At 35.7% G+C, this 27,299-nt stretch overlaps 1 long non-coding RNA gene across 1 annotated transcript; it reads left to right on the plus strand.

Annotated features, from left to right (window-relative positions):
* LOC105370601 (uncharacterized) lies at positions 1 to 27,066 on the plus strand. The gene is made up of 5 exons (XR_944092.3): positions 1 to 190; positions 4,935 to 5,040; positions 7,661 to 7,700; positions 21,934 to 22,009; positions 24,854 to 27,066. It is a non-coding gene; the product is annotated as an uncharacterized LOC105370601 (long non-coding RNA).
* Positions 27,067 to 27,299: the final 233 nt, after the last annotated feature.

Raw genomic sequence — 27,299 nt, forward strand, 5'->3', positions numbered from 1 at the left:
GTATTTTCTGAAAAGGTGGATTGCTGCTTCAAAGGACCTGGACCCAGAGGCCCTGTCCATGAATGTTTCTTGCTTGGTTCCGAGGCCACCAAACATACTGGCTGAGCCTTCTGTATTCACCCTGGCCTATCAATGCCATCTATGAGAGCAGCCACACTGAGAGAGCAGCAGCATGGAGCCTACTCAAGGGGTAAGTACATAAAAGGGCCCATTGGAATCTGTACTTACGTTGACCAAATGCCACAGTGCAAGTGTTAAATTGAAATACCTTGATCCATAATTTAGATTATACCTCAGTGTTCTGTATGATTTTTTTTTAAAAAATAAAATTTAGAGAGAAATGTTTTAAAGTAACAAATTAGATGTTAAGGATTTTCTCCAAAACCTTACTTCAAGAAGAAGAAAAAGAAGTAGGAGGAGGAGTAGAAGAGGAAATCAATTCTTTTCCATGTAGTTTTCCTATCAATACTTCCATAATATGTAGTTCGAATTTTACAAGATCAGCTAGATGTTCACAAGGTAGAAAAACCAGAATGCAACTTGACTTATTTTATTAGGTGTGAAGACATTTGGCTTTAAGCATTTTTTAGTATTTATCTTTAGACTTTGTTTTCTTTTACCATTTGGTTCTCTGAGATAACATTATTATTTTCCTTTCTCCCCCCAACAAAAAAGAAAATTACAGTAACTTCAGAATAATAGCTTTTACTAGTACCAGGCTTTGTTTTGATGCACTGAGAGTAAGGCCTTTAATCGGAGTATTTCAAAACTTCTATGGATATAAATCACCTTTACTTTTTTCCATTGTCACCTCTATTCAAACTTCATTTCACTCATACCCTCATCAAACTCATAAAATGCCATTTTGTCAATAGATGAGCACTTCAATATCCAAAAAGGTAAATGCAAGGTTTGCCAAGTTATCAATTCAGTTATGACTTTTGAACTTTAAACCTAGCAGCAAGACCATTCTAATCCCATAGGAAGGAGGAGTTTAAAATAGCTTCAACAAATGTTTCCACAGGCAGACTTTTATCTCTGCCAAAAACTTCATCTGCTCTTCCCACTTCCTATCCCTCTTCAATGAAATATATACATAGCTTGAAAAGCACATATAGAATAAATATATCTTGCCTTTTAAAATAAAAGTAAAGGCAGTAGAGAATGTTACCATAGTTTTAAGGTTTTGTCTAAGTTTTAAGAAATGTATTGTGAAGCAGATTATTTTTACATCTAAAATTTAAATGAAATTCATTATACTGCATTTTCTCAAAATTCATACACCTTTGTTTTTAACATTTATGGTATCATCTATATGTTGGCACAAAATTTAAAAGATGATTCAAGATGAAATCATCTGATTTTTTAATGGTGGCAGAGTGAAGTGGTTGTTTAAACCCTTTTACACATAAAAATTATAAAAACAGTATCAATTTTGAAAGCCAATTACTTCAGGGAACTGAAAAGTAGCTAAAAGGTGACAGAAGCTAGAGGAGCATTTACTCTTGAACAGTTACAAATAAGAGGAAAACTATGAAGATCAGAATATTAGAACAATATGTTCAAATGATTCAGATAAAAACAGGAATGTCAACAGAGAACTCTGTATCTGACAAGTTTCAGATGAACAAAAACTGAGAGAATCTGGAGTCAGCAGAAAGGCACTCCAAGAAATGCTAAAAGGAGGGTGTCATACCAGAAGGCACCTTGGATTTCAGAAAGCAATCATAAGCACAGGAAGCAGTAAATATGTGGGTAAACAATATTTTGTTACACAGTGTTTACCATTTCTTAATTTCCTAAAAAAATCTGCTAAAAGCAGAATTATAAGATATTAAGAGATTAATAACATATATGTAATAATAGTAACACAAAGTACAGCATAGAGTAATAAATTGAAATATGCTGCCTTAAAGTTTCTATATGTTACTAGAAGTAAACTCAATACTAACTTTAAGTTGATTGGGATAAGTTAAGGATAAACAATTTGATTCCTGGACTCTTAAAACACACACTGTAATTCTAAACCCTAAATTATGAAAACAAACATAGCTAGAAAGCAAAAATAAGAAGGAAAATTGAATACTAAAAAAACCTGATTAACAGAAAATAAGACAGAAAAAAAGATGAACAAAGAAAATGAGAAAAAAATGGAAAACAAATATTGAAGTGGCAAATCAAACAATACTTTTGTTAATGATAAGTAGAATAACACCTAATTAAAAAGCATTGGTTTTCAGATTGTTCTCAAAACCAAGAGCCAACTCCATATTTTAAATGAGATATGCTTTAGATGCAAAACACGAATAGAAAGTAACAGCAAGAAAAAAATAATATGTAGGTAGTAAGCTAAAGAAACTTGAAAGGGTCATATTTATACAAGGGTGTCTTCGAAATGTTCATGGAAAATGCATATTTTGAGAAAACTATGCACAGATTTTAAAATATTGCTTGCACTAGAATGAACTTGTACTAACTTATTATAACATGTCTGAACAGGATCTCTTTTGAGGCACTAAAAGGACAAAACATCAGTTTGAAAAAAGCTCCTATCAGAGCAACATGAACTCTACTAAAATTAAAACAATAATAAACATCAAATTTACACTGAAACTTGGGTAGAAGAGTGATGAAATCACTGATGCTTTACCAAAAGTTTATGGGGACAATGCTCCAAAGAAATGAGCAGTTTGCAAGTGAATAACTCATTTTAAAAAGGGAAGAGATGATGTTGAAGATGAAGCCTTCAGTGGCACACAATCCACATCAATTAATGAGAAAAGTATTACTCTTGCTTGTGCCCTAATTGAAAGATGCTGATAATTAACAGCAGAAATGATAGCCAACACCATAGACATCTCAATTGTCTCAGTTTACACAATTCTAACCCAAGTATTAAAGTTAAGCAAACTTTTCACTCAATGGATGCCAATACTGTTGCACCCAGGTTAGCTGAAAACCAGAGCAGAGCTTCCAAAGGGAATTTTAAAAGTGGGGTCAATAACCTGAAGCATTGTTTTCAAAGACTCCTAACAGGAGATAAAACATGGCGTTACCAGTATGTATAATCCTGAGCACAATCAAAGCAAGGGCTACCAAGAGAGGAACGTGGTCCAGTCAAGGAAAAAGTGGATCCCTCAAGAGCAAAGGTCACAGTGACAGATTTTTGGGATGCTCAAAGCATTGCGGTTATTAACTTTCTGGAAGGCTAAAGAATAATAACATCTGCTTACGATGGGAGAATTTCAAGAAAGTCAGTTAAGCTTTGGCAGAAAAATGCCCAGTAAAGGGTCACTAGAGAGTCCTTTGCCACCACTGCTCCTGCTCATTCCTCTCGTTACACAAGGGCAACTTCGTGAGAGTTTCTATGATAAATCATTAGTTTTCCATCTTACAGTCCTGATTTGGCTCCTTCTGACTTTTTTTTTTTTTTTTTTTTTTGAGACAGAGTCTTGCTTTGTCGCCCAGGCTGGAGTGCAGTGGCGCGATGTCGGCTCACTGCAACCTCCGCCTCCCGGGTGCAAACGATTCTACTGCCTCAGCCTCCTGAGTAGCTGGGATTACAGGCATGCACCACCATGCCCGGCTAATTTTTGTATTTTTAGTAGAGATGGGGTGTCACCATGTTGGTCAGGCTGGTCTCGAACTCCTGACCTCGTGATCCACCTGCCTTGGTCTCCCAAAGTGCTGGGATTACAGGCGTGAGCTACTGCACCCGGCTTACCTTCTGACTTCTTTATGTTTCCTAATCTTAAAAAATAATTATAAAGGGCATCCATTTTCTTCAGTTAATAATGTAAAAAAAGACTAAATTTACATGGTTAAATTCCCAGGACCCTCAGTTCCTTAGGGATGGACTAAATGGCTTATATCATTGCCTACAAAAGTGTCTTGAACTGGATGGAGCTTATATTGAGAAATAAATATATATTTTTATTTATATCTTTTAATATTAATAATTCTATTTTTCTACAAACTTTTTGAAGTCCTCTCATATCAGAAAAAATAGACTGTGAGACAGGAAAATTACTAAGACAAGGATGAACACTTAATAGTAATAAAAGTGCCAATAAATCAGGAAAATAAAATTACATATGGGATGTGCCTAATAACAGATATTCAGAACTAAAAGGGGAAATCAGAAACCTAATAATTATATTTGGAAACATTAATACACCTTTCTCAGTATTTCGTTAAAAAAAAAAGAGAAAAAAACTAGCCAAAATAATGATACTATTAACCATCTTTTAACCTCCTGACATTTATAGAGACTACATACCCAACCGGTATAATACATACATATTAGAAAATAAGAAACTACTAAATGTAATGATTCAGTTTCCCTCTTTAGGAAACTAGAAAACTAATGAGAAAATTAATCTTTAAATAAGTCAAAGGATATAATAAAAGTAAAAACAAGTAAAAACATACAAAAGATAAAATCAAAGGGCAACTCTTTTAAAAAATCAGGAATATCCATTACACATGTCCAAAGATGTTCAACATCATTAGTTAACGGGGAAAAAAGAACCTTTAAAGCATTAGAATGGTTAAAATTAGAAAGACTTAAAATACCAAGTGTTAAGGAGATGGTGAAAAAATGGGAAATCTCATATATTGATGAATATTAAAAATATTATAATAAGCAAAAGAAATCAGATACAAAAGAGTAGATGCTTAATTATTCCCCTTACATAAAATTTTAGAAACTGGAAAATTTGTATGGTGATTGATAGAAAGCAGACGAGTTATTGTCTGGGGACTGGCGGTAGAGAGAAGGAATGACTACTAAAAGAGGAAATTTGGGAGTGATGCCAGTGTTGTTTGTCATGATTGTGGCTGGGGTTCTGTAGGTGTGCATGCCTATCAAACTTTAGTTCTACATGTTAAATGGTGCAGTTGATTATATATATGTCAAATATACCTCAATACAGTTTGTTTCAAAAATATATGGAAAACAAGAAAAACCAAAAGAGGAAACCATTTCTAATGAGGAGACTAGTTCAATTATTCTGAAGTCAAGCCCTGCTAATCAAGGAGGTGAGTAGTTGGAGGGGGAGGAGGGTTTTCAAAGAAAAGAGAGGAAAGGAACAGTCATGTGCTGAGTGCCTACTATGAGACAGAAAATTTACCAATTTACTAAATTTCCACAATAGTGCTCTAAAGGGGGTGCTCTCCCTATCTTAAAGATGAAACAACTGTGTTTTAATACAACTTATAACAAGAGTTCACAGAATAGAAAATACTGAGGTTTTTCAGATTTTAAAGATAATGTTATTTGTTACTTCTCACCCATCTTTTTTAACTGCTGTTCGCCAGAATAGTCTGAAAATATTAATGAAAATGGCTCGAAATAACTGATTTATTTTTATTAGTAAAAGGCCTCATGCAACACAAATAAGTGATCTATAACTTTAGAAAAAAAAGGAGTGAACACAGTTCTTTAAAATTCCTTTTAATTGAATATTAAAATTCAATTGCTTTTGTTCTTATTGCTAGCATTGTTGTGTTGGTGAATGATTAACCACCAGTTCACTGGAAAGACTAAAAAACAAACAAACCTGGGTTTGTAGTATTTGACAATTTCCATTGATGTGAATATTTCCAGCAAAGCCAATTTTAAGCTATCAGGTGATGTCACTATACACTGAATTGGAGAGAACTGCAGGCTGTCGGCTCTCCCCAGCTGATTCAAGCTAGCTCCAATGTATGGCTGCTTTTTAGCCTATTTAATAAACAGAATGGATTGAGATTTTTTTTAAAGTTTATTTCACAGCTTTTTTGTTAACAGCAAATTTCTTTGGCAGGTGTTAACGTAAGTTTAGTTTTATGACACTCTTTAATAGATTTTGAAACTCATTAGCAGATTTGTGTTACTAACGAGAAAATTTTCCTGATAACAACTTGAGTTTAGTGCATCAACAATACAGGTGACTTCAGTCTTCAAAACATATCACTTTATGTAACAGTATGTTTTGAAAATATAATTTCATGCCTTCCTTGACTCATTTTCTTTTACAGCACATTGTCGGTCTTTGAGAAAATCCTAAAGGCTTTACTTTTAACACACACCTCGCTATCTCTCACCACTTTCACTTGTACGGTCATCTGTGCACAACCTATCCTCTGGATTATGGCAATGGGTTCTCAACTTGTCTCTCTTCTTTCACCCTTGCTCTCTCATCATCAATTCCAAATACAGTCACCAACACTAGATTTCTGAACTCTAAATCTGACCTTGACCAGTGCTCAGCTCAAATCTCACTGACGGTTCTGCATCACATTTATGGTTGAAGGCAAGGTTCTGACCTTGACCTACAATGATGCCTTACATGATTGTAGCACCACTTAGCTCTCTAGCTTTACTTTCTGTTACTCTTCCCCACCACTGACTTCCCCAGCCATGCTATTCTCCAAATGCTTCTGACACTTTCTGCCCTAGGCTGTTTCCTCTGACAGGAATTCTCTTCTGGCAGATTTTTACATAGTTCACATCTTCATTTCCTTTATGTCTTTGGTCAAACATCACTTTTTCAGTGGAAACTCAGCCTCTACTTTCACTACTGTCGTTCAGATTGCACACTACCAGCCTATTCCTACCCTGCTCCTGCCCCCTGCACTTCCTATTCTCCTCCCTTGCTTTACCCCCACAACATTAGTGCCTTCTAATGCCTGTAAGATTTACTCCTTTATTTTATAGTCTGCGTCCTATTTCCTCATTGTAATATAAGCTCTGTAAGGGCAGTGGGTTTTGCCTGTGTAGAATTCCTAGAACAATATCTTAAACCTCATAGATGTTCAATACCATTTCTTAATGAGTGAATATAAATGTTCACATTAAATGACCATGCATTTAGGGAACAACTTACTGTGATCCCTGTCTGTTAAATTAGAGTACTGCTTTCTCCTGAAGGGAAATCTTTAATAAAAACCGTTTGTCCAGAAAGAAAAAGATCTGCCCAAACCTCTATTACTGAAAATGGAGCAGAAAACAATTATAAAAGATTGAATTACTACTATAGGATTTTATACATGATACAAATAATTGTTGAGACTCTTCTGAATATCTAGAAATTACTTGCTGAATTTAAAAGGTTTATCTTAGCCTATACGTTATATATGGATATCATTGATGTCATCAAATATTCTAATGTAAATATAACTTTATTAGCAGTTTTTTTTAAACAATGCATAGAGCTGCGTGTGTGATACATGAGCTGTGAGAGGCTATAGCACATGATTCATACGGTTAAGAAACATTAGAGAATGCACATGCAAATTACGAGAAAATCAATAATGTCCAATATCACCTGCTAGTGCCACATTTTTAAATATGAAAAGGAATGTAGGGAGAAAGTTAGGAATGTGGAAAGCCATAGAAACAGAGTAAAGTTGTCCCTCTGTATCCTTGGGGAATTGGTTCCAGGATCTCCCCAGGGATACCAAAATCCAAGAATGCTTAAATTCCTTATATAAAATGGTGTAGCATTTGCATATAACCTACACACATCCTTCCATAAACTTTAAATCATCTCTAGATTACTTATAATACTTTGTACACTGTAAATGCTACGTACACTGTTGTTATATTATTTTTTATTTTATTATTTTTTATGGTATTTTAAAATGTAATTATTTTTAAAATATTTTTAATCCACAGTTGGACCGACTGTGACATTTGGGGAAGCCCCACAGAACAGGTGGGTGTTACGCTGAGACTTTAGCAACTTCCTGTCACATGTGGAACAACCCGAAAAAAATTAGCCTTGATAAAACACTGTACCCTTAGATTGTATTCTCTGAAAACCAGCAACTTGATTGACTTAGTAGTAAGGGATCCTATATATTCATTTATCATTTTACTTAAAAGTAATTTTTGATTTTTAACATTATTAAGACAAGGAGTTGATCAGTTGAGAATGATGAGATTCTTCCTTCTAGGTGAGGAATATTTTCTCTTTATTTTCTACAGGCAGTTATATAAAATACACTTCCAGGAGGACTGAGCAATGCAGATTTGCACAATGCCAGGTTCCACAGGATTTCAGGGGCCCTAATACCAAATAGAGTCGTGATGGAAACTGATTTCTTTAAAACCAGAGAATTTTTCCTGTGAGTAGGGATGAGTGAATAGTCTTGCATTTGTGTATCAAAGTTCATCCAGAAAAACACAAGTAAGAGATATATATTAAGAGATTTACTACAAGATATTGGGTTATGAGATCATAGGCAGTTCCAAAAACCACAGGGCAGGCTGGCAGGAATAACAGGCTGATGCTACAGTCTGTAAGTGGAATTCCTTTTTCTGAAAAATCTCATTTCTGCTCTCAAAACCTTTCAACTGATTGAATCAGGCCCACTTAGATTTTCTGGAGTAAGCTACTTTACTTAAAGTTAACTAATTATGTACATCAATCACATCTACAAAACATCTTCACAGCGACCCCTATATTAGTGTTTGATTGGATAACTGGAAACCTGTAGCCTAAACAAGTTGACACAAACATCTGACTATCACAAGTACAGACTGATCTTTCAGTCTGTTTCTTTCTCTTTCTCTCCCTCTGCCTGCCTGTGTTATCCCTTTTGGTGGCTTAGCATTCAATGCTGCATTTTTGAAATTATATATTTATTTTTAACTAGAATCTTTATTGTCAGTGTCTTTTCTACTTTTTAAAAACTCATTATTACAATTACATAGCATCCTGCAATAAATTCTGTAGTCATGGCAATTGTACTTATTGGCAAGCTTTAGTTTTCTGTTCCTCATTTTACAATTCAATGGTTGCTACTCAAGGATGTACTTCAGCATCAGCCAGAATTGGTGCCTTGGAATTCATACTTTTAATAAAATACTCCCCAGATTATGCTGATGTATAGTTGGTGCTAAGAATTGTAGCTATACTTTTATGGCTATTTATCTGTGTTTTCTACTGAAAACAGCAAAATAAACAGTTTTAATCTTTTATTTTCTTTTTCTTTTTTGTTTGTTTGGTTTTGGTAAGGGTAGGGACTAAATGTTTTTCAGAGCAATCCTTTGCTTAATATGAAACCTGAAATAGACAGCCATTTTTTTTTTCCAAAGTCAACTTGAAACTACCTGTGAAAATACCAATAAGCACACAGTCTAGCCTTCTCTCACAGCCCAGGGAGGTTGTCTGCCTATTTAATCTCCAGCATTCTGTATAATGCATAAAATCAAAATCCTTCCCAAGCTGCCAATCAATATTACATTTTCCCAAGAGGGACAATAGCTAAGGAGGAAGATTTAACTTTATTAAGTAGGAGGAATTTCTCCCCTCGCTGAGCTAAACCATGTGGGGGAATGCATCTGGTACTCTTAGATTGTCAACCCCTGTCCTATGTTTCCAGCGGTGTGCAGTTGGTTTATAACAGGGCCATGATTTGACCTTTTCATGGAACAACTGCAGATCAGAGCACATAAAGGTCAGTGTGGCCTGGTAGCATCATGATATGCATTAGCAAAACAACCGGATCACTGTGGGTTTATTTTCTTTTATCTTGATTCTGGAAATCTGTATTTCTTCCATTTATACCTGTGGTTTAAATGTGTAAGGTTTGCCTTAGTTTTTAAAAATTCTTATGTAAAGAAATAAATCCCATGTGACAATGTTTTCAAGTAGTGTTTGTTACAAGGCAAGTCGTATTTATGTTCAAAATAAGTCAGAAAAGGAAGCATGAAACTCTTCGATGGCAAAACACAGTGTAGTTAATGACTAGCTATTAATTAACAGGCCCAGGGACCCATCAGGCTGCAACAGCCAAGGGCTAGCTCTTCTAGGAATAACTAGCTTCAGGCATTAATTGCTATTATAATCTATTTTCTCTGATTCAAAGGAGACCATTGGTTTCTACAGTAACAGAAGATAATAACTAGCTAATTGGGTAAACTCTTTGAACTCCTGGCCTCAAGCAATCCTCCAGCTTTGGCCTCCCAAAGTGCTGGGATTATAGGCATGAGCCACCAGCCCTGCTGAAAGCCATACTTTATATGCTAATTTATTGAAGATTTCATCACCAGTTTTCCAAAAATAGACTTCAGTGACTAATGGAGAAGTTATCTCTGCATTACAGATTTGTTGAGAAACAAATTACTTAATTTACTTCTGAAACGTGCTGCCAATCACAAATTTCCATCCATATATAAAGGGTGGTGATAATGATAATAAAAATGCTAGAAAAGGCCTTTTGCAGGGAAGCAGAGAACCCTCTCTAATGACTCCCATCATTTTGGTGCATCACTATTTAACAAAGATATTGGCCTGTAGTTTTCTTTTTTTTGATGTGTCTTTGTTTGGTATTTATATCAGGGTAATACTGGCCTCATAGAATGAGTTTAGAAGTATTCAAGTATTCCCTTCTCCTCTGTTTTTTGGAATAGTTTGAATAGGATTAGTATTAGTTCTTCTTTATATGTTTGGTAGAATTCAGGGAAGCCACCATGTCCCTGGCTTTTACAGGGAAGCCACCAGGTCCTGAGCCCTTTATTGGGAGACTTTTTATTATGGCTTCCATCTTGCTACTTGTTACTGATCAATTCAGGTTTTGGATGTCTTCAGGGTTCAATTTTGGTAGGTTGTATGTATTTAGGAATTTGTTCATTTCTTCTAGATTTTCCAATTTATTGGCATGTAGTTGCTCATAGTGACCGCTAATAATCATGTGAATTACTGCAGTATTAGTTATAATGTCTCCTTTTTCATTTCTGATTTATTTGTATCTTCTCTTTTTTCTTAGTCTGACAAAAGGTTTGTCAATTTTGTTTAACTTTTTAAAAAACTAACTTCTCTTTCATTGATCTTTTTTATTGTTTTCTTCATCTCAATTTAATTTCTTTTTTGCTCTGATTTTTATTATTTATTTTCTACTTATTTTGGGTTTGGTTTTCTCTTGCTTTTCTAGTTCTTTAAGATGCATCATTAGATTTTTTTTAAGTGTCTCTTCTTTTTTGATGTATGCACATATAAACTTCCCTCATAGTACTAGTTTTGCTGTATCCCATAGATTTAGGTATGTTTTGTTTCCATTATCATTTGTTTCAATAATTTTTTCAATTCCTTCTTAATTTCTTCATTGACTCACTGGTCGTTCAGGAGTATATTATTTAATTTCCATGTATTTTTGTAGTTCAAAAATTCCTCATTATTAATTTATAGTTTTATTCCATTGTGGTCTGAAAAGATGCTTATATTATCTCAAGTTTTTTGAATGTTTTAAGACTTGTTTTGTAACCTAACCTATGACCTGTCCTTGAAGTTTCAGCCATACACCTCAGTTGATAATCTTTTATTCATTTAAATAGACACACTTTGAGTTAGACCTCTGTGTGAGCTAACAAATTAGAAAACGTACACAGAATATTATTTCAAGGAGCACATACCCTTGAAGATACAATTGAGGAAAACAACTAGCTAGGAAAAAGATATTGGCTATAACATATGATTCAAAGTGTATAATGAGCATGTTGTAGGACAAAAATATCTTGGTTTTGGATAGCAGGCCTAACATTAAGGCTGATCCAAGTCAATGAGCCTGCAGCTTGTCCACTTTGCTAATCCCTTTTACATAAAATTAAATAAGAACACAAAATTGTGAATACACAATTTCTGCATCCTCAGAATCTTCAGAATCTTAGAAGGAACTGTGCAAATGGGGAATTCTGGAGCTTAATTCTCATGGTAACTCTACTCTTGCTGTGTAGCAAACACTGCCCTGGATTTCTTGAAATAATTTTCATTCACAAACTCTATTGTATAGTAAGACAGGGGACGCTAGGAATAAATTTTCCTATTTTTTTCTTGTTTGAATAAATGTTAACTCCTCATCTTCACTCCTACCTCTTTTGCCATGCATCTTCTATTAATTCTCCAAATTACGTCCAAATGATCTTTTCATATCCTAATCAAATCTTAGCACTCCCTTGCTTAAAACTTTCTAATGGCTTCCGATTATGCTGTGAACTAAACCCTGAAACTTTACAATGACCCACAAAACCTATGTGATCTGCCCTTTCCAGTCTCTGATCTGAGTCCGTACAATTCATCCACATGGTCTTGGTTCTAGAAACTGGGCCTTCTCTCCTTCCTTCCTTCCTTCCTTCCTTCCCTCTTTCATCCCTTCCTCCTCTCCCCTCCCCTTCCTCCCTTCCTCTCGCTTTCCTCCCCTCCTCTCCCTGCCTCTCCTCTCCTATCCTTCTTTGTTTCTTTCTCTCTCTTTTTTCTTTCTTTTCCTTCCTTCCTTCCTTCCTTCCTTCCTTCCTTCCTTCCTTCCTTCCTTCCTTCCTTCCTTCTTTCCTCCCTCTCTCTCTTCCTCCCTCCCTCCTTTCCTTCTTTTCCTCATTCTTTTTTTCCTTTTCTTTCTTTATTTTCTTCCCTTGAATGTGGCAGAGGTATTATTATTGAAGGGCTTTTGAACTTGTTGGTTCTTCTTTCACCTCTAAGAAGCCACGTATTTTGCATCGTGGCATGGGTGTTTTCTTTTCATCAATTAGATCTCAGCTCAAGTTTTACTTCTTTAGCAACATTTTCTATAACCACACTAATGTTGTCCTCTACCCATCTAGTCACTGGTCACTTGCTGTTTCATTCATGTGTTTCATTTCTTTGTAGCTGGAAATAAAAAAATATATATTTTTAAATTCATGTAACTTTTCTACTTTTTCCCACTGCAATATAAATTTATGAAGGCAAACACTTTGTCTTCTTTTTCCCTGCTATATCTACTGTGCATAGGACACATAGTAGAGGTTAAATGATTGTTTGATAAAAGATTGGATGAATTACATGAATCGGTTTATTATTAAGAGTGCCAGAATATAGAAAAAGTACCCTACTGGGTCACGTCTATTATCCGTCTACTTTAGTCCTCAATGGAATGTATTGCTGTGCTCCCTTTTTAAAATCATCCTCACTGACTGACATGTGCAGGTTCATATTCTAATTTATTATAATTTCTCTTAAGCAACATTTAATGAATTTATAATACAGTCTGGAACACAGTCTTTCTTCTTTCTTTTTTTTTTCCCCCAGAGAATGAACAGTTCACTAACAGAAAAGAGAGAGAGTTCAGTAATCTCTACATGACCCAACATGGTTTTGGAGATTCAAAATACAATATTCTGTATTTCAAATTCTAACCTCTTCTGGACTTACATTAGCTTTTTCAGGGATGATCTCATTCAAAATGTATTTTGCTGCATGATTTGAGCTGAACGTTTCAAAATTCTTCAGTACATTCCAAAATTGGTATTTATTCAGCAGGATAAAAAGGAAATGCTTGCCTAAGATCAATTCTTACCAAACCTTTTGAATTTTGGTTGCAAAAACCAAAATCAATCATTGCAGTAAAACCTTCAGGATAGATTTCCTTTTCTCATTGCATCTCCAGTCATTACTTAATGGCTGAATGTGCAGCTGGGACCAGCTAAGCCAGGGAGAGCTTGTGATCCTTTAATTCTCACAAAAGCATTTTGTATGGATCAGGTTCATTTTGCTTGTCTACACTCTCTATGGTTGTAATGCTCTATAATTTTTATTTTCCTTCTCTCCATATTCTACTTAACACACCACTCACTCTCAAGGGAACTGTAGTGAAGAAGACAAAGCAATATTTCTTTAAAAGAAAATGTTTCAATTGCCTAGTACAGGCTGCTTACATTGTATTATCTTCTGCTTTTTAAAATTTTCTTATTGTTCTTTGTCCCTGTAAATTGCATATGACCTTATGTGACTAAGTTTTAATTCTTTAATTTTAATGGGAAAATATGTGGAATTATTATGCAAAGAAAAATCACAAAAGCAAAATACAATCTAGGAACAGAAAAATCAGTCAAAGAAGTATATAGCTCATGATTAAATAAACTGCTAAAGAAATCAAGAATGATGTTGACACACATATTGTAATTAAGGGTTTAATTAATTAAACACAATTATTATGTTTTGTCATAATGCTACTGAAATCATACACTTAGTTGAAATAGTTATGGCAGCAGAAAAATATCATGAAATTTTATTTAAAATGACAATGTAGATATGCAATATTTCTGTTTTCAATAAACAGCCCCCCCCCCCTTGATTTCTCTCTCTCTCTCTCCTAGATTTTAGTATAAATAAATTACAACTCATGGCCCTTTAAAACTATTTAAAATCAGTCAAAAGAATGAAAGTTATACTTTTTAATAAGAATGGAAAAGGTAACCATCTTGGAGAATGGAAGCTTTTATAACATGTCTACAAACAACACAACTGATTAATTTTCATTTTCACAATCATTTATTGAAAGTCTATATATACTTCTGGTCAGGCACAATGGCTCATGCCTATAATCCTAGCACTTTGGGAGGCCAAGGTCGGTGGATGGCTTGAGCTCAGGAGTTCGAGACCAGCCTGAGCACCATGGTGAAAACTCCCTATCTACCAGAAAACAGAAAATTTAGCCGGGCGTGGTGGTGCGTAGTCCCAACTTGGGGGTTGGTAGTCCCCATCTTGAGGGTGCTGAGGTGGGAGGATCACTTGAGCCTGGGAGGTGGCGGTTTCAGTGAGCCAAGGTTGGGCCATTGCACTCCATCCTACCTGGGTGACAAAGTGAAATGCTGTGAAAGAGAGAAGAGAAGAGAAGAGAAGAGAAGAGAAGAGAAGAGAAGAGAAGAGAAGAGAGGGAGGGTGGGAAGAAGGAAGGAAGGAAGGAAGGAAAGAAGGAAGGAAGGAGAGAAAGAAAGAGAAAGAAAGAAGAAAGAAAGGGGAGTGAAAGGAGGGAAGGGAGGAAGGAAGGCAGGAAGGAAGGAAGAAAGGAAGGAAGGAAGGAAGTCAGGCTGGAAGGAAGGAAGGAAGTCATCTATATATGTTTTAGAGAAAATATAAACATTCCTGGAGCTTCATTGATTGTGTTTTATTTTTTATATTCCATATAAAAATATTTGTCATATATTTCCTTACTAAACAGATTTTAATTTGATTTCATAGTTCTATTTTTGAAAACCAATATCTACTACCTGCTGCCATGCTATTTAAACTCACACAAATCTTGGAAGATCTGTTCAGGCTGGCATATTTTAGGTGAAATTTTGCAACTGCTAAATGATTATACCATAGGACTGGAAAGAGGTATATTCTTAATAAAATAAAAGCAATAGAATAAAGCCAAGCTATGCTGAACAATGCTGCAGGACTTGTTATTGCAAGGGAGTGGATTGTTAAACAAAATAAAAATAATAATTTCATTCTAGCCTTATTTTTTTTTAAATGTGAAGATGAAAGGTAATTTATATCAAGTGGAGAAAAACAAAAACTTGACACTTGGCAGTATAGAGCTATAAAATCGCCTCTTTTATTTTTCTATCTAATACAAAAATTTTATAAGAGAAACAAATTTGTATAAAGTTGAGGCTTTTGCCTTACAGAATAAAGAAAGGAAAAATACTACAACAATATTTAAGAAAAGCTACATATTTTGATCCTTTGTTAAAGACTTTTCAAACAGGATAGAAGATAGAAAACCAGGCTCTCCCTAAGAATATTAATGAAGAGGGTAAAAATATGCATTCCTGCTGGACATGAGTCGAAGTAAAAATTTAATACAATGCACCGTATCTCTTAGCCTAACAATCAAACCTTGACAAACATTCAGTTACACATGTTTCTGTGCATGTGTATGCATGCTTGGGAGCACGTGTTTCCCTACAAAATACATGAGGAAGTTTGCATAAGCATTTTAAACAAATAACCCAATTGTAGAGATACTTAAAGAACACCTGAGTACCTCTGAAACATTTAAATTGATTATATTCTATTTACTTTTTTATATTTTGAGAGCAAAGAGACTTGCCTAATATGAATTTTGGTGACAGAAAACAGCTTTGTTATTAGTACTAAATTCAGTGGAATGGGTTATTTACAGCTTAATTTCAGGGTAGTAATTCTGTTGTCAAAACTATCTCTCAAAACTTTATAGTTTATTATCTTAACTTTTATGACATTCACAATGGCCTGAATATTTTTGTATTATACTGTTTGTTTTTCTTTAGACTAAGTTTATTTATTTTCCCCTTGAAGGTTGTGTTTTATATACATATATACATACATACATACATAAATACATGCATACATACATACATACATATTGTATTAGTCTGTTCTCACACTGCTATAAAGAACTGCCTGAGACTGGGTAATTTATAAAGGAGAGAGGTTTAACTGACTCACAGTTCCGCATGGCTGGGGAGGCCTCTGGAGACTTACAATCATGGTGGAATGGGAAGCAAACACATCCTTCTTCACATGATGGCAGGAGAGAGAAGAATGAGAAATGAGTGAAGGGGAAGCCCCTTATAAAGCCATCAGATCTTATGAGGACTCACTCACTATCATAAGAACAGCAGTGTTGTTGAATCATGAACACCCCCATGATTCAATTACCTCCCACTGGGTCCCTCCCATGACACATGGGGATTATCAAAACTACAATTCAGGATGAGATTTGGGTTGGGACATAGCCAAACCATATCACGTGTGTGTGTGTGTGTGTGTATCTGGATTATTGGATGGAATCAGGTTTCTGAATCAGGTTTTATTTCATCAGTGTATTTAGTCTGTTCTCACACTGCTATAAAGAACTGCCCAAGACTGGGTAATTCATAAAGAAAATAGGTTTAATTGACTCACAGTTCCGCATGGCTGGGGAGACCTCAGGAAGCTTAAAATTATGGTGGAAGGAGAAACAGGCACGTCTCACCTGGCAGCAGGTAAGAGAGAACAAAAAGCCTATGAGAAACTGCCATTTATTAAACCATTGGATCTTGTGAGAACTCCCTCGCTATCAAGAGAGCAGCATGGGAGAAACGTCACCCATGATCCAGTCACCTCCCACCAGATTCTTCCCTCGACACTTGGGGATTACAATTAGTGGTGAGATTTGGGTGGGGACAAAGAGCCAAACCATATCAATCAGTTAAGACATAACCAACTGATAGAATCATGTATAGAATCTTGAGAAATTTATGTTTTTTTTCTCAAATCAGGACATCAAATGCCTGGGAATTTAAGGTTTTTTTTTTTTTTTTTTTTCATAAGATCTAGTAGCCAACCAGTTAAGGACAGAGCCAGTACTGCAAGGCTTAGCATATCATTCTTTTTCCCATCTGTAAAATGGTCTTTTAATATTAATGCCTTAATAAATTGAGGTGTTTAATTTACTTTGGATGTATTGGAGGAAACCAAGAAGAAAAGGCCTCTTTCTCTTCACATGCTTGCTCCAAGACTCAAAGAATAGAACTCGTGAGGCTTCAGATAGAGCCAGGCAATTCCCTTAGGTATGGACTTCTTTCCCTATCCATTAACAGATTACAGAGAATTTTCCTAGAGGAATTCTTGCCACTCCTCATGAGCCTTACATGTGATACTCAGTTTGCTATTGTTAATAACAAACAGCATTTCGGGAAAATTTAGTTTTTCTTAGTCACACAGGTGACTTCAATTTCTACAACCATTCTTGCCCCCTCTCTCTTTCATTCCTTTGCTATCAACTTTGGGGACTTTATCCTTATTGACAGTGGTAAATGGTCATCTGGATTCATGCTTCAAAGTTTGAATGGTATTTATATAGCTCATAACTTTTTTGCAGTAGCATTTTCCTATGTGATGCTGATTTACATATGTCCTAGTTCATTTAATCTACACACAGCTCTAGGAGGTAGATATTATTATTATCTCCCTTTCATAGACAAGGAAATGAAGCTCAGAGAGTTATGCAACTCACTAGAAATATCAGCACTGGTACTAGATATAGGATTTGAACATATGAGGTCTCATTCTGGGCCTGGATCTTATTGCTGCCCAGTTAGTAAGAAAAACATATTGAGTGTCTGGTTTTCTGTCTGAGAGTCTAGGAAATGGGAACTGATAAGAGTGAGATATCGTTGATTCAGCCGAATGGCAAGGATTTTGTAACAAGCTACAAATTAGGGTGATCCGGATACATTAAAGATAGGTCTGGAGGTGAGATTCTGTGATGTTTACATATTTACATAGGTATACATATTATGATTCAATGTTCCTGAGGAAGCTAAAAAGTAAATTCCAATTACCCAACTGGCTCCACTTTCCTCCCCATCATACTCCCAAGTGTGTGTGTGTGTGTGTTTATCCTGTATATTAAAAATCCCAAATAATACAGGTCAGTCTGGAAGAGGTTTCAGAACATGCTTGCTTTGATAGATTCAGAATCAAATCCCTCAATACATCTAACATTTCTACTAATAGAAATAGTGGAGGCAACCCTGTATTACCCATTGGTGGATCTTTCTAAATATAATTTTTCTTCTGTTTGATTGGAACGATTTTACAAACATGTAAGTATGAATGACTCTTTGAAACATATTTCTTCTCTGAGTTGCATATACTTATGAAAGAATACTCGAAGTGGATTAAAATTCTAACTGGAATGTTTACATTCTAACATGTACAGCAATAAAGTCTACAGTAAAGATTATCACATTCTTCTCTTGCTCATGTTACCAGAGATAGAGCTGAAAATATCATAGTGATATATGCTTTTGGTGTTAGGAAATCAACAATCTTTGAAAATTTTGTATTCCAGAATAAAATAAAAAACCTTCAAAGGCCTAACAGGTGGCATACCATTTCTCTTTGATTCTGAAAAGCTACACACCACACACACTCACACACACAAACTCACATAGGCGCATGAAAGAAAAAGACCAAAAGATTATCTGCCTTTGTCTTGTTATGCCTAAAATATTCCACTAGAGGACAGTGCAGCTATTGTCATTCAGCCATGCCAAGTTTTGATCAAATTTCCTGATGCTTTTGCAGAATATAGAAAGCATACATTCATTTAAAATAAACTGCAGGCATTTGTTTTAAAAGCACTTTAGCTTGTACCTGATGGTTAATAGATCTGAATTGCTTGGAGCCCTGATGCACACAGAGTAGAGAACATAATGAATTTAGCAGATTTTTTAAAGAAGGGAGAGGTTGGGGAAGAAGACAAATATGAGCTAATTTTTTTCATTTGCCTTGATACCTTAAGGGAAAAAAAAAGCAGAAATAATGCACAATCATTATGAACAAGCTGGTAGATATAAGTATTAGTTTACATTTAAATGAAAATAGCTTATAGAGAGGGAGAATGGATATGACTCAAATAGTTTCCAGCATCTTGTTTGAAATGCAAAAGAGCAGTTTATATTTATATTAATTTAGGTGGATGCCTCTGGTTTTCTTGGGACTTCTCAACAAATTATTTCTATTTATCTTGGAAATGGGCATTCGGAACATGATCTGGAGGCTATGCAAAGACTTCTTGAACTTGAGACCTAGAAGATTTGATACCAACTCAGGAAAAAAAAGAGCCTGGGTTACTTGAACACCCTTCACAAAGGAGAAGCGGGCAGAGGGGACCCAAGAAATATGTTAGGGTGTCATTTCTTTTCATTGGCAAAATTTAAAAGAATAAACTTATAAACATAAGGCACCAGAAATAAAAACATCCTCTCGTTCTGTTTCCTGCAGTGACAAAAGATATATATTCTAGATGGTAGAGAGAGCTGCCTTGGAGATAAATTGTCTGATTTCAGCATCTCAGCGGTGGATAATAGATTCCCCTCAGAACCACATAATTAAAAAATGACATTTCTGCTACTTTGTGCCAACTTGGTACCGCTGCTGCCCCTGGCTTCCGGGCCTGGGAGCCCTGCAGGGTACAACCAAACAAATTTTGCATTATTCAGTGGGACAATGTAAGGTCATGTTAACAAAAAAAGTTCCTTCTGGGGGGACCGGAGGACTTTAGTATTTTCTTCTCCACAAATTCCTCTTTCTGCTTTTCTTCTTTTTTTCTTTTTCAACTCTGCCAACATGAAAAAGATATGAACGATGAGATTAGGACATCCACTTATTACAAGTTGGCCAGATGAAAGAGAGCATATGTGTGTAGCAGAATAAATTAAAGCGTCTAATTTTAGCACCTTTTTTTCCTCCAAGCAGATATTCAGAATCAGCCAAAGATGAGGCAAATGCTGTGAGAAAAAATATGTAAATCAAAGTGCTAAATCCATATCCTTAGACATCTTTAGGACGAAATGGTTAATCCTCATGTGGATCCTGGCCACCCCCCCGCCCCCACATCTCTCCAGGAGTTTCCTGAAAGGCAGTTGACTGCAGTCTGAACAACTGTTCTTTATGGGTCTCTCAGTTCACTATGTATCTCAAAAAAAGTGCATGTGCTAGACAAGCCTCCAATTAACAGTTACTAAAGTGTAAATGGATTTCCAAATGTCACATAGCTGGTAATTAGTGAAACCAGGACTAGCAATGGATTTTTGATTCCTCTTTGAAGTGTTTTAGTAACAGCCAGTATTCTGCAGGTGTCTTTAGTTCAAATAATGAAAGTACACTAAGAATATTCCTTTTTCTTAAAGGAAATAGAAGAAAATATAAGACTCTTTAAAAAACTACAATTCAATGAATTTAAATTTTGTGATTTCAACCATCAATTAGGATTTTGATTTTAGGTTCACAATGTATTATTATGAAAATACATATGAACCAGGTTATTCATTTCAGCATTGTTAGTCATTGTAAAATATTGGATACAAACTAAATATCCATAATATAAGTTGGCCTGGAGCGGTGGCTCACGCCTGTAATCCCAGCACTTTGGGAGGCCGAGGAGGGTGGATCACGAGGTCAGGAGATCAAGACCATCCTGGCTAACGTGGTGAAACCCCATCTCTACTAAAAATACAAAAAATTAGCTGGGCACGGTGGCAGGCGCCTGTAGTCCCAGCTACTCAGGAGGCTGAGGCAGGAGAATGGCGTGAACCAGGGAGGCAGAGCTTGCAGTGAGTGGAGATCGAGCCACTGCACTCTAGCCTAGGCAACAGAGCCAAACTCTGTCTTGGAAAAAAAAAAAAAAAGAAGTAGATTTCTATGAACTAATGTTGGATAATTCCCAGAATATATTGCTAAGCCAAAAAAAAAAAAAAAAAAAAAAACCCAAGAGCAACAGAGTTTTCTATAATATGTTTCATGTAGGAAAGTTAGGAATGTAAGAAAATATACATGTATATTTTTATTTATGGAGAAAAAAATACAGGTATGATAACCAGAAACTATTAAGATCAATTACTAACAGGGAGATGGTGAAAACAGAGTGAAGAGGATGAAACAATAGAAGTGGAGTGGAGTGGCACAGATGAGAAGACAGTGACACTGTTTGGAATATACTTTTTGAATTGACATGAAACTAAGTTTGTAGTATTGTTTCGCCTACCCAAAATATAGATTAAAAATTTAAAATCCCTCAGGAAGTGAGGGAAACCCAACATGGAATACAAGCAGTAAAGAGTAACCGAACTGTATTACAAATGAGTAACATACTCCCACTTAAGAGGGTGAAAAAGTAAAGTACCTATTTAAGGAACTTTGGAAGGCAGTATTGCAATGTAAAATTAAAGGTTAAGGTAAAAAAGAAAACAAGAGATATTGTACTCTAGTTAGCAACATTGCTTTTCGCAAATGTAGGCATTACAAAATCTGAAAATGCTTTTTTTTTGTATACTAGAATTGAACAAATACTCAAATATATTGTGGATAATGTGATCCAAGTTTCTGTATGTTAGATAAAGAAGTAACAATGTGGAAAGGAGAAAAGTTAGAATGAACTCTATGGTGCTGGATTGGAATTTATATCACATAAAGTCATGGATTTTGCATATGTCCATAGATAAATGGTAGAGAAATAAATATTGATGTGTGCATGGATACATTAATATATATCTGTAAAAGTGTGTATGGATGCATATTATATATAACAATATCACAATATTGTTGCCCAAGTAGCAATAAGCACACTTAATAACCAGGTCTTGATTTCTAAATGCTATTTTTTTAAAAGGATGGGATCTTTTATGAAGAAATGGATTGGGAAGAAAAACATAAGATAAGGTTGGAACCTCTTCTGGTGCAAGAAGGTAAAGAAGTGTTCAAATGATGATGGAGGCATTTAAAAGGGACACAGGAACCAACTTAAGATTTCAATAATCTCAACTGGAAGAATTTGAAGTAACAACATAAATCATGATAGTATTGGAATATGAACCATAAAATAAATACTTATGAGTCTGTGCTGATAGGAATAAACAACTGAATAAATAAGTAAATGGTGGGGAAGAAGCAACAGCTCTTCCTTATAATACAATCACAATTAAGCAATGTGGAAAGAATGACAGAAACAGATAATTACCCTTGGGCATGCATCATGGTATAATAGTTGCAGGCAAGAATCATTCATGGAAACTAAATGTATTGAGGAAAAGTATAATGGAGCACAGGTTATTTGCATAGTCAAGATATAACTCCCTGCAAGATTCCTATTAATTACAAAAGGAAAACCAATAGCTTTTCAGTGGAGAAACTTGGCAGACACAAAAGTGATGAATTAATTAGAGTTAACATCACCAGTTTTAAGATATATTGACATGACATTCCTCCTGATATAATGCAATAAAAAGGGTAAAACATTATTTTAGTGGCATTTTTGAAAAAAAAAACACAAAAATCTCCATGTAATCATGATAAAATGTCATACAAACACAAAAGGAATGAATGACATTATGCAAAATACCTGACTGTTATCAAAAGTGCTAAGGTTATGAAAGACAAAGAAAATGATAGAAAGACTCTTATAGACTGGAGGAAACTAAAAAAAAATGACTATTAAATGCGATATGTGATCCAGGTTGATACAGAGAAAGAACACTAGTGTGAAGACACAGGAAATTCAAATCAGGCTTCTAGCTTAGTCAATGAAAGTATATCAATGTTAATTCTCTGGTTTTGATAATGTACCATGTTTCTGTAATCTCTTTAGAGGAATCTGGGTAAATGATATACTGGAACTCTATTATCTTGCAATATTTCTATACATCTAAATTACTTCAAGATAAAATTTTTTAAAAATGATGAAAATACTAAAGAATTCAGGCACTTTAATATTTAGTGCTTATTTTAAAAAGGGAAAAGGAAAAAAGAACAAAATGCTTTAGGCTGAAGGTGATGACAGACTTTTAACATATGTCTGGAAAAATAATCTAATTTCCAGTAATAATAATGATTATCTAATTTAATAACTATTCAACTGGTGTATTGGAATGCATGTATTATGTCAACTTTATGAGATAGTTATTATTGTTCTTCTCATTTTAAAGAAGTGTCAACTAGCAATTAGGAGGGACTAAGTCATCTCCCCAAAGCACAGAGTCCAAGTTTGTTCTCTATTTACAAAGTAAATTTTTATTTATGGAGTACTTAATAAGATTTTATTTTGCATACATTATGTTTAAGCCTTGTAATATGCAAAATGAACTAATAGTCTTACTTAAGAATTAGAGAAATAAATTCTGAAAGAGGCTATATATTAACAGGGAATTTATATGAACATGTTTATGATTCTACTTCTGCTCTATACAGAAATATCTTATTTACTAACTTATTTACTAATTCACCTTAGGCCACAGAACTGATTCAAAAATTCATATTCTCTCCCTATGTATCACATTGAATCTATAGCTAAAAGGGCCTAATAGAAACTTTATCATGTCTTCCTTATTAAAGTGAAAACATAAATAGTATATTTCTATATAGTCATGATTAAGTGAATAGGTTTTAAAAAATTTCCGCAAAGTAAATAGAAGTAGATAGTATTATTGCAAATAGGATGGAAGAAACACAGACGCAGGCACACACACATGACTAAACCAACATACCTAAACAAATATTGAAAACTCAACACTTTTACTCTTTATTTCCTTACCTATAAATTCCTTTCCATAGTATTTGGCTGGCATATGGTCTAGTGACAAGCAAGGTGCTGGCCATAATTCAATAGCTAAGTTATATAACAAGGCTAAGCTTGAGCCTTGAGCTCTGGTTTGGAGAGTCAATCTCCTCTGTTTTTTTTATTTTATTATTTTATTATTTTTATTTATTTATTTGTGTGTGTGTGTGTGTCTTTGTGTGTGTGTGTGGTAAACTTGCATGGCTATTTGGATAAAAATGTATTTGTGAGAAGCACTGAGGAGCAAATTATCGCAAGGAAAAAAGAGAGCATATAAAAAAGCTTGGGAAAGATCAGAGCCTTGATTGTCAGAGTGAAAGGGGATTTGGAGTAGAATGTTGTATTTAATTATTCCTAGTTATGCCCCAAAGAAAAGGGCATCCCACATAGAACCAGGTCTGGCAGGATTCATGGGAGAATACAACATTAGAAAAAAGATTTATAAATTGTTTTGATTCTGAAGTAAGAAACAATAGGAAAGGGAAAGAGAATGAGACACCTTCTCCTGACATCTGACATTCACAAACCACTCTGTGTGTGTTCCCCTGAGGCTCAGAACATACTGAGAATGTTCATGTATATTTGTTTCCAGGGTTTTGAGAACACCTGGATATGCCTCATGGAAAGTCTTCGATGCAGGTGCTAGAGGTGCTGTGTAGAATCTTTCACAAGGTTGAGAACTGTGGAAACCTCTTTAAGAAACACGACCTAAGGCTATCAGAGGAAGAGAGGCAGGAAGTAAGGATTAGTATTTGATAGAGGCAACAAAATCTTCCCATATGTGGGTAACATAATCTGTAGAGACAAAAAAAACAAAAATTGAGTAAAATTTTAGAGAAGAGTTTCTGTGAAAGAGTACACTAACTGGTTTACAGAATGGCTGCAAAAATATCTAAGTGCTTGAACCAAAAGTAATTTCTAAGGTCAGTTCTAAGAAAAGTAGTTTTGCCAAGAATCTCTTCTTCATCTTTTCATTCAGGTCCTAAATATTACTGAGGATCTCTCATCTTCTAGGTGAAGCTCACAAAATTGCCCTGGAGGTTGCTGCCTTCCTGGAAGCCAGAGTGAAAAAAAAAAAGAGGACATGCAGTTGCACATGGGAGGATTTTGTGGGCCATGGTTATCAGGGCACAATCCCTTAGCTCACCTTTCTCTGGTGAGAAAACACTTCCAGTGCCACACCTCAGTCTCCTCCCTCTGGTGAAAAAAACACTTCCAGTGCCACACCTCAGCCTCCTTCCTCTGGTGAAAAAACAGTTCCAGTGCCATACCTCAGCCTTTCCTCTGGTAAAAAACACTTCCAGTGCCACACCTCAGCCTCCCTCCTCTGGTGAAAAAACACTTCCAGTGCTACACCTCAGCCTCCTTCCTCTGGTGAAAAAATACTTCCAGAGCCACACCTTACCCTCCTTCCTCTGGTGAGAAACTACTTCCAGTGCCACACCTCAGCCTCCTTCCTCTGGTGACAAAACACTTCCAGTGCCACAACTCAGCCTCCTTCGACTGGTGAGAAAACACTTCCAGTGCCACACCTCAGCCTCCTTCCTCTGCTGAGAAAACACTTCCAGTGCCACAGCTCAGCCTCCTTCCTCTGGTCACAAAACACTTCCAGTACTACACATCACTGCTGGAGAACTGGAGAGTGGAGTCTTCCAGCCCAAGAAGAAAGAAATATAGGATTTTGTCAAGTACCAGAAGTTTCTGCCACACTCAGTGGGCATTCTTTGAGTTAGTTTTTTTAGTATATTTCACTAAAAACTGTGAGAGAGGAACCCTTAATATAGGTCCTGCAAAAAACAAGTATTCAATAAATCCTGTTGAATCAATAAATGAATCACCTCTTCCAAAATAAGCTTAATTGTTTAAGTTACTAGCAAAATGCCTAAATGAAAATTAACCATTCTATAGAGACATTATTGAGTTAGTTCATTCAGCCATTCAATAAATGTATTCAGTGTATGTTTATAGAATAACTATAATTTACCAACTGTTTTAGGCATGGGGGGTACAGCAGTGAATAAAATCATCCAACTACCTATTCTAACAGAGATTAAATTCTAGTGGTACAAGCAGCAGACGAACAAATGAATAATTTCATATATTCATCCATGCAATAATATTGAAAATTTTATTTTCAATAAATAATCAGTGGTCCTCAACCTTTTCGGCATCAGGGAACAATTTTGTGGAAAACAATTTTTCTACAAACGGGTGGGAGAATGGTTTCAGGATGATTCAAGCACATTACCTTTATTGTGCACTTTATTTCTATTATTACTGCATTGTAATATATAATGAAATAATTATACAACTCATCATAATGTAGAATCAGTGGGAGCCCTGAGCTTGTTTTCCTGCAACTAGACAGTTCCATCTGGGGGGAATGAGAGACAGTGACAGATCATCAGGTATTAGATTCTCATAAGGAGCATGCAACCTAGATCCTTTGCATGTGCAGTTCACAACAGGATTCATGCTTCTATGAGAATCTAATGCCACCACTGATCTGACAAGAGGTGGAGCTCAGGAGGCAAAGCTCACTCACCTCCTGCTGGGCTACTTGGTTCCTAACAGGCCATGGACCAGTACTGGTCCATGACCTGAGGGTTGGGGACCACTGACTTAGATTCTAGTGGAAAAAGATGGGCTGTAAACAAACTATGTAAGAAAATAATACAAGCATATTAGTGGGCCAGCTGTAGCATGGTGGGAAAACAGGGCCATGAGGAAATGAACAAGCCCATTTTACCAGCTGGGGTCAGGAATAATAATGATGTGGAGTCCCTTGAGTATGGGGGAGCTACAGAAAGCAGAAACTGAACCAGGCTCTGGCCAGGGGACCCATGTGCTGCGGCAGTGCTAGGAACCTGCACAACTCAGCCCATAGCCCAGTTGAATTAGCCCATGCTGGCACCCACATCTTGCTTGGGCACTGTCTCACGGTTTGACACTGGAGATGGGTATGAAGCCCTCTACTGGATTAATAAAACAAATAATACCTTTGTTCACAAGATGATCTTAAGAAGAACAGCAGATGAGGACCCTGTAAAATTTTATTTTCCAGCAGAGAGGGTACAGAAGCTGATTTTGTGATTGATTGGAATGGGACAGCAGTGAGGAGCCACCATTTTGCTCACAGATGAAAGATCACCCATTGTAAGAGGCTGCCTGAAGAGAAAACAAGGTGTGTGTGGGTAGGGAGGTCTGGGTACTTGGGATAGTGGCCCAGTTAATGGTGTCCATTTTTTTTCTCTTTGGTGAGGTGAAGAACTTCATAAAAGAAAAGAAAAGAAACATCTGCATTAGAGGGAATCTAGCAACTATGGGATATGCAGGGGAGAATAAAACTGGGAGGCATCTAAACTTTGGCTTAGATTCCCAGGCCTTTCCAACCCAGGCAGCCATCAGCCTACCCAGGAGGTTGA

The sequence above is a fragment of the Homo sapiens genome, chromosome 14 (genome assembly GCF_000001405.40).
Source record: "Homo sapiens chromosome 14, GRCh38.p14 Primary Assembly".
Lineage (NCBI taxonomy): Eukaryota > Metazoa > Chordata > Mammalia > Primates > Hominidae > Homo > Homo sapiens.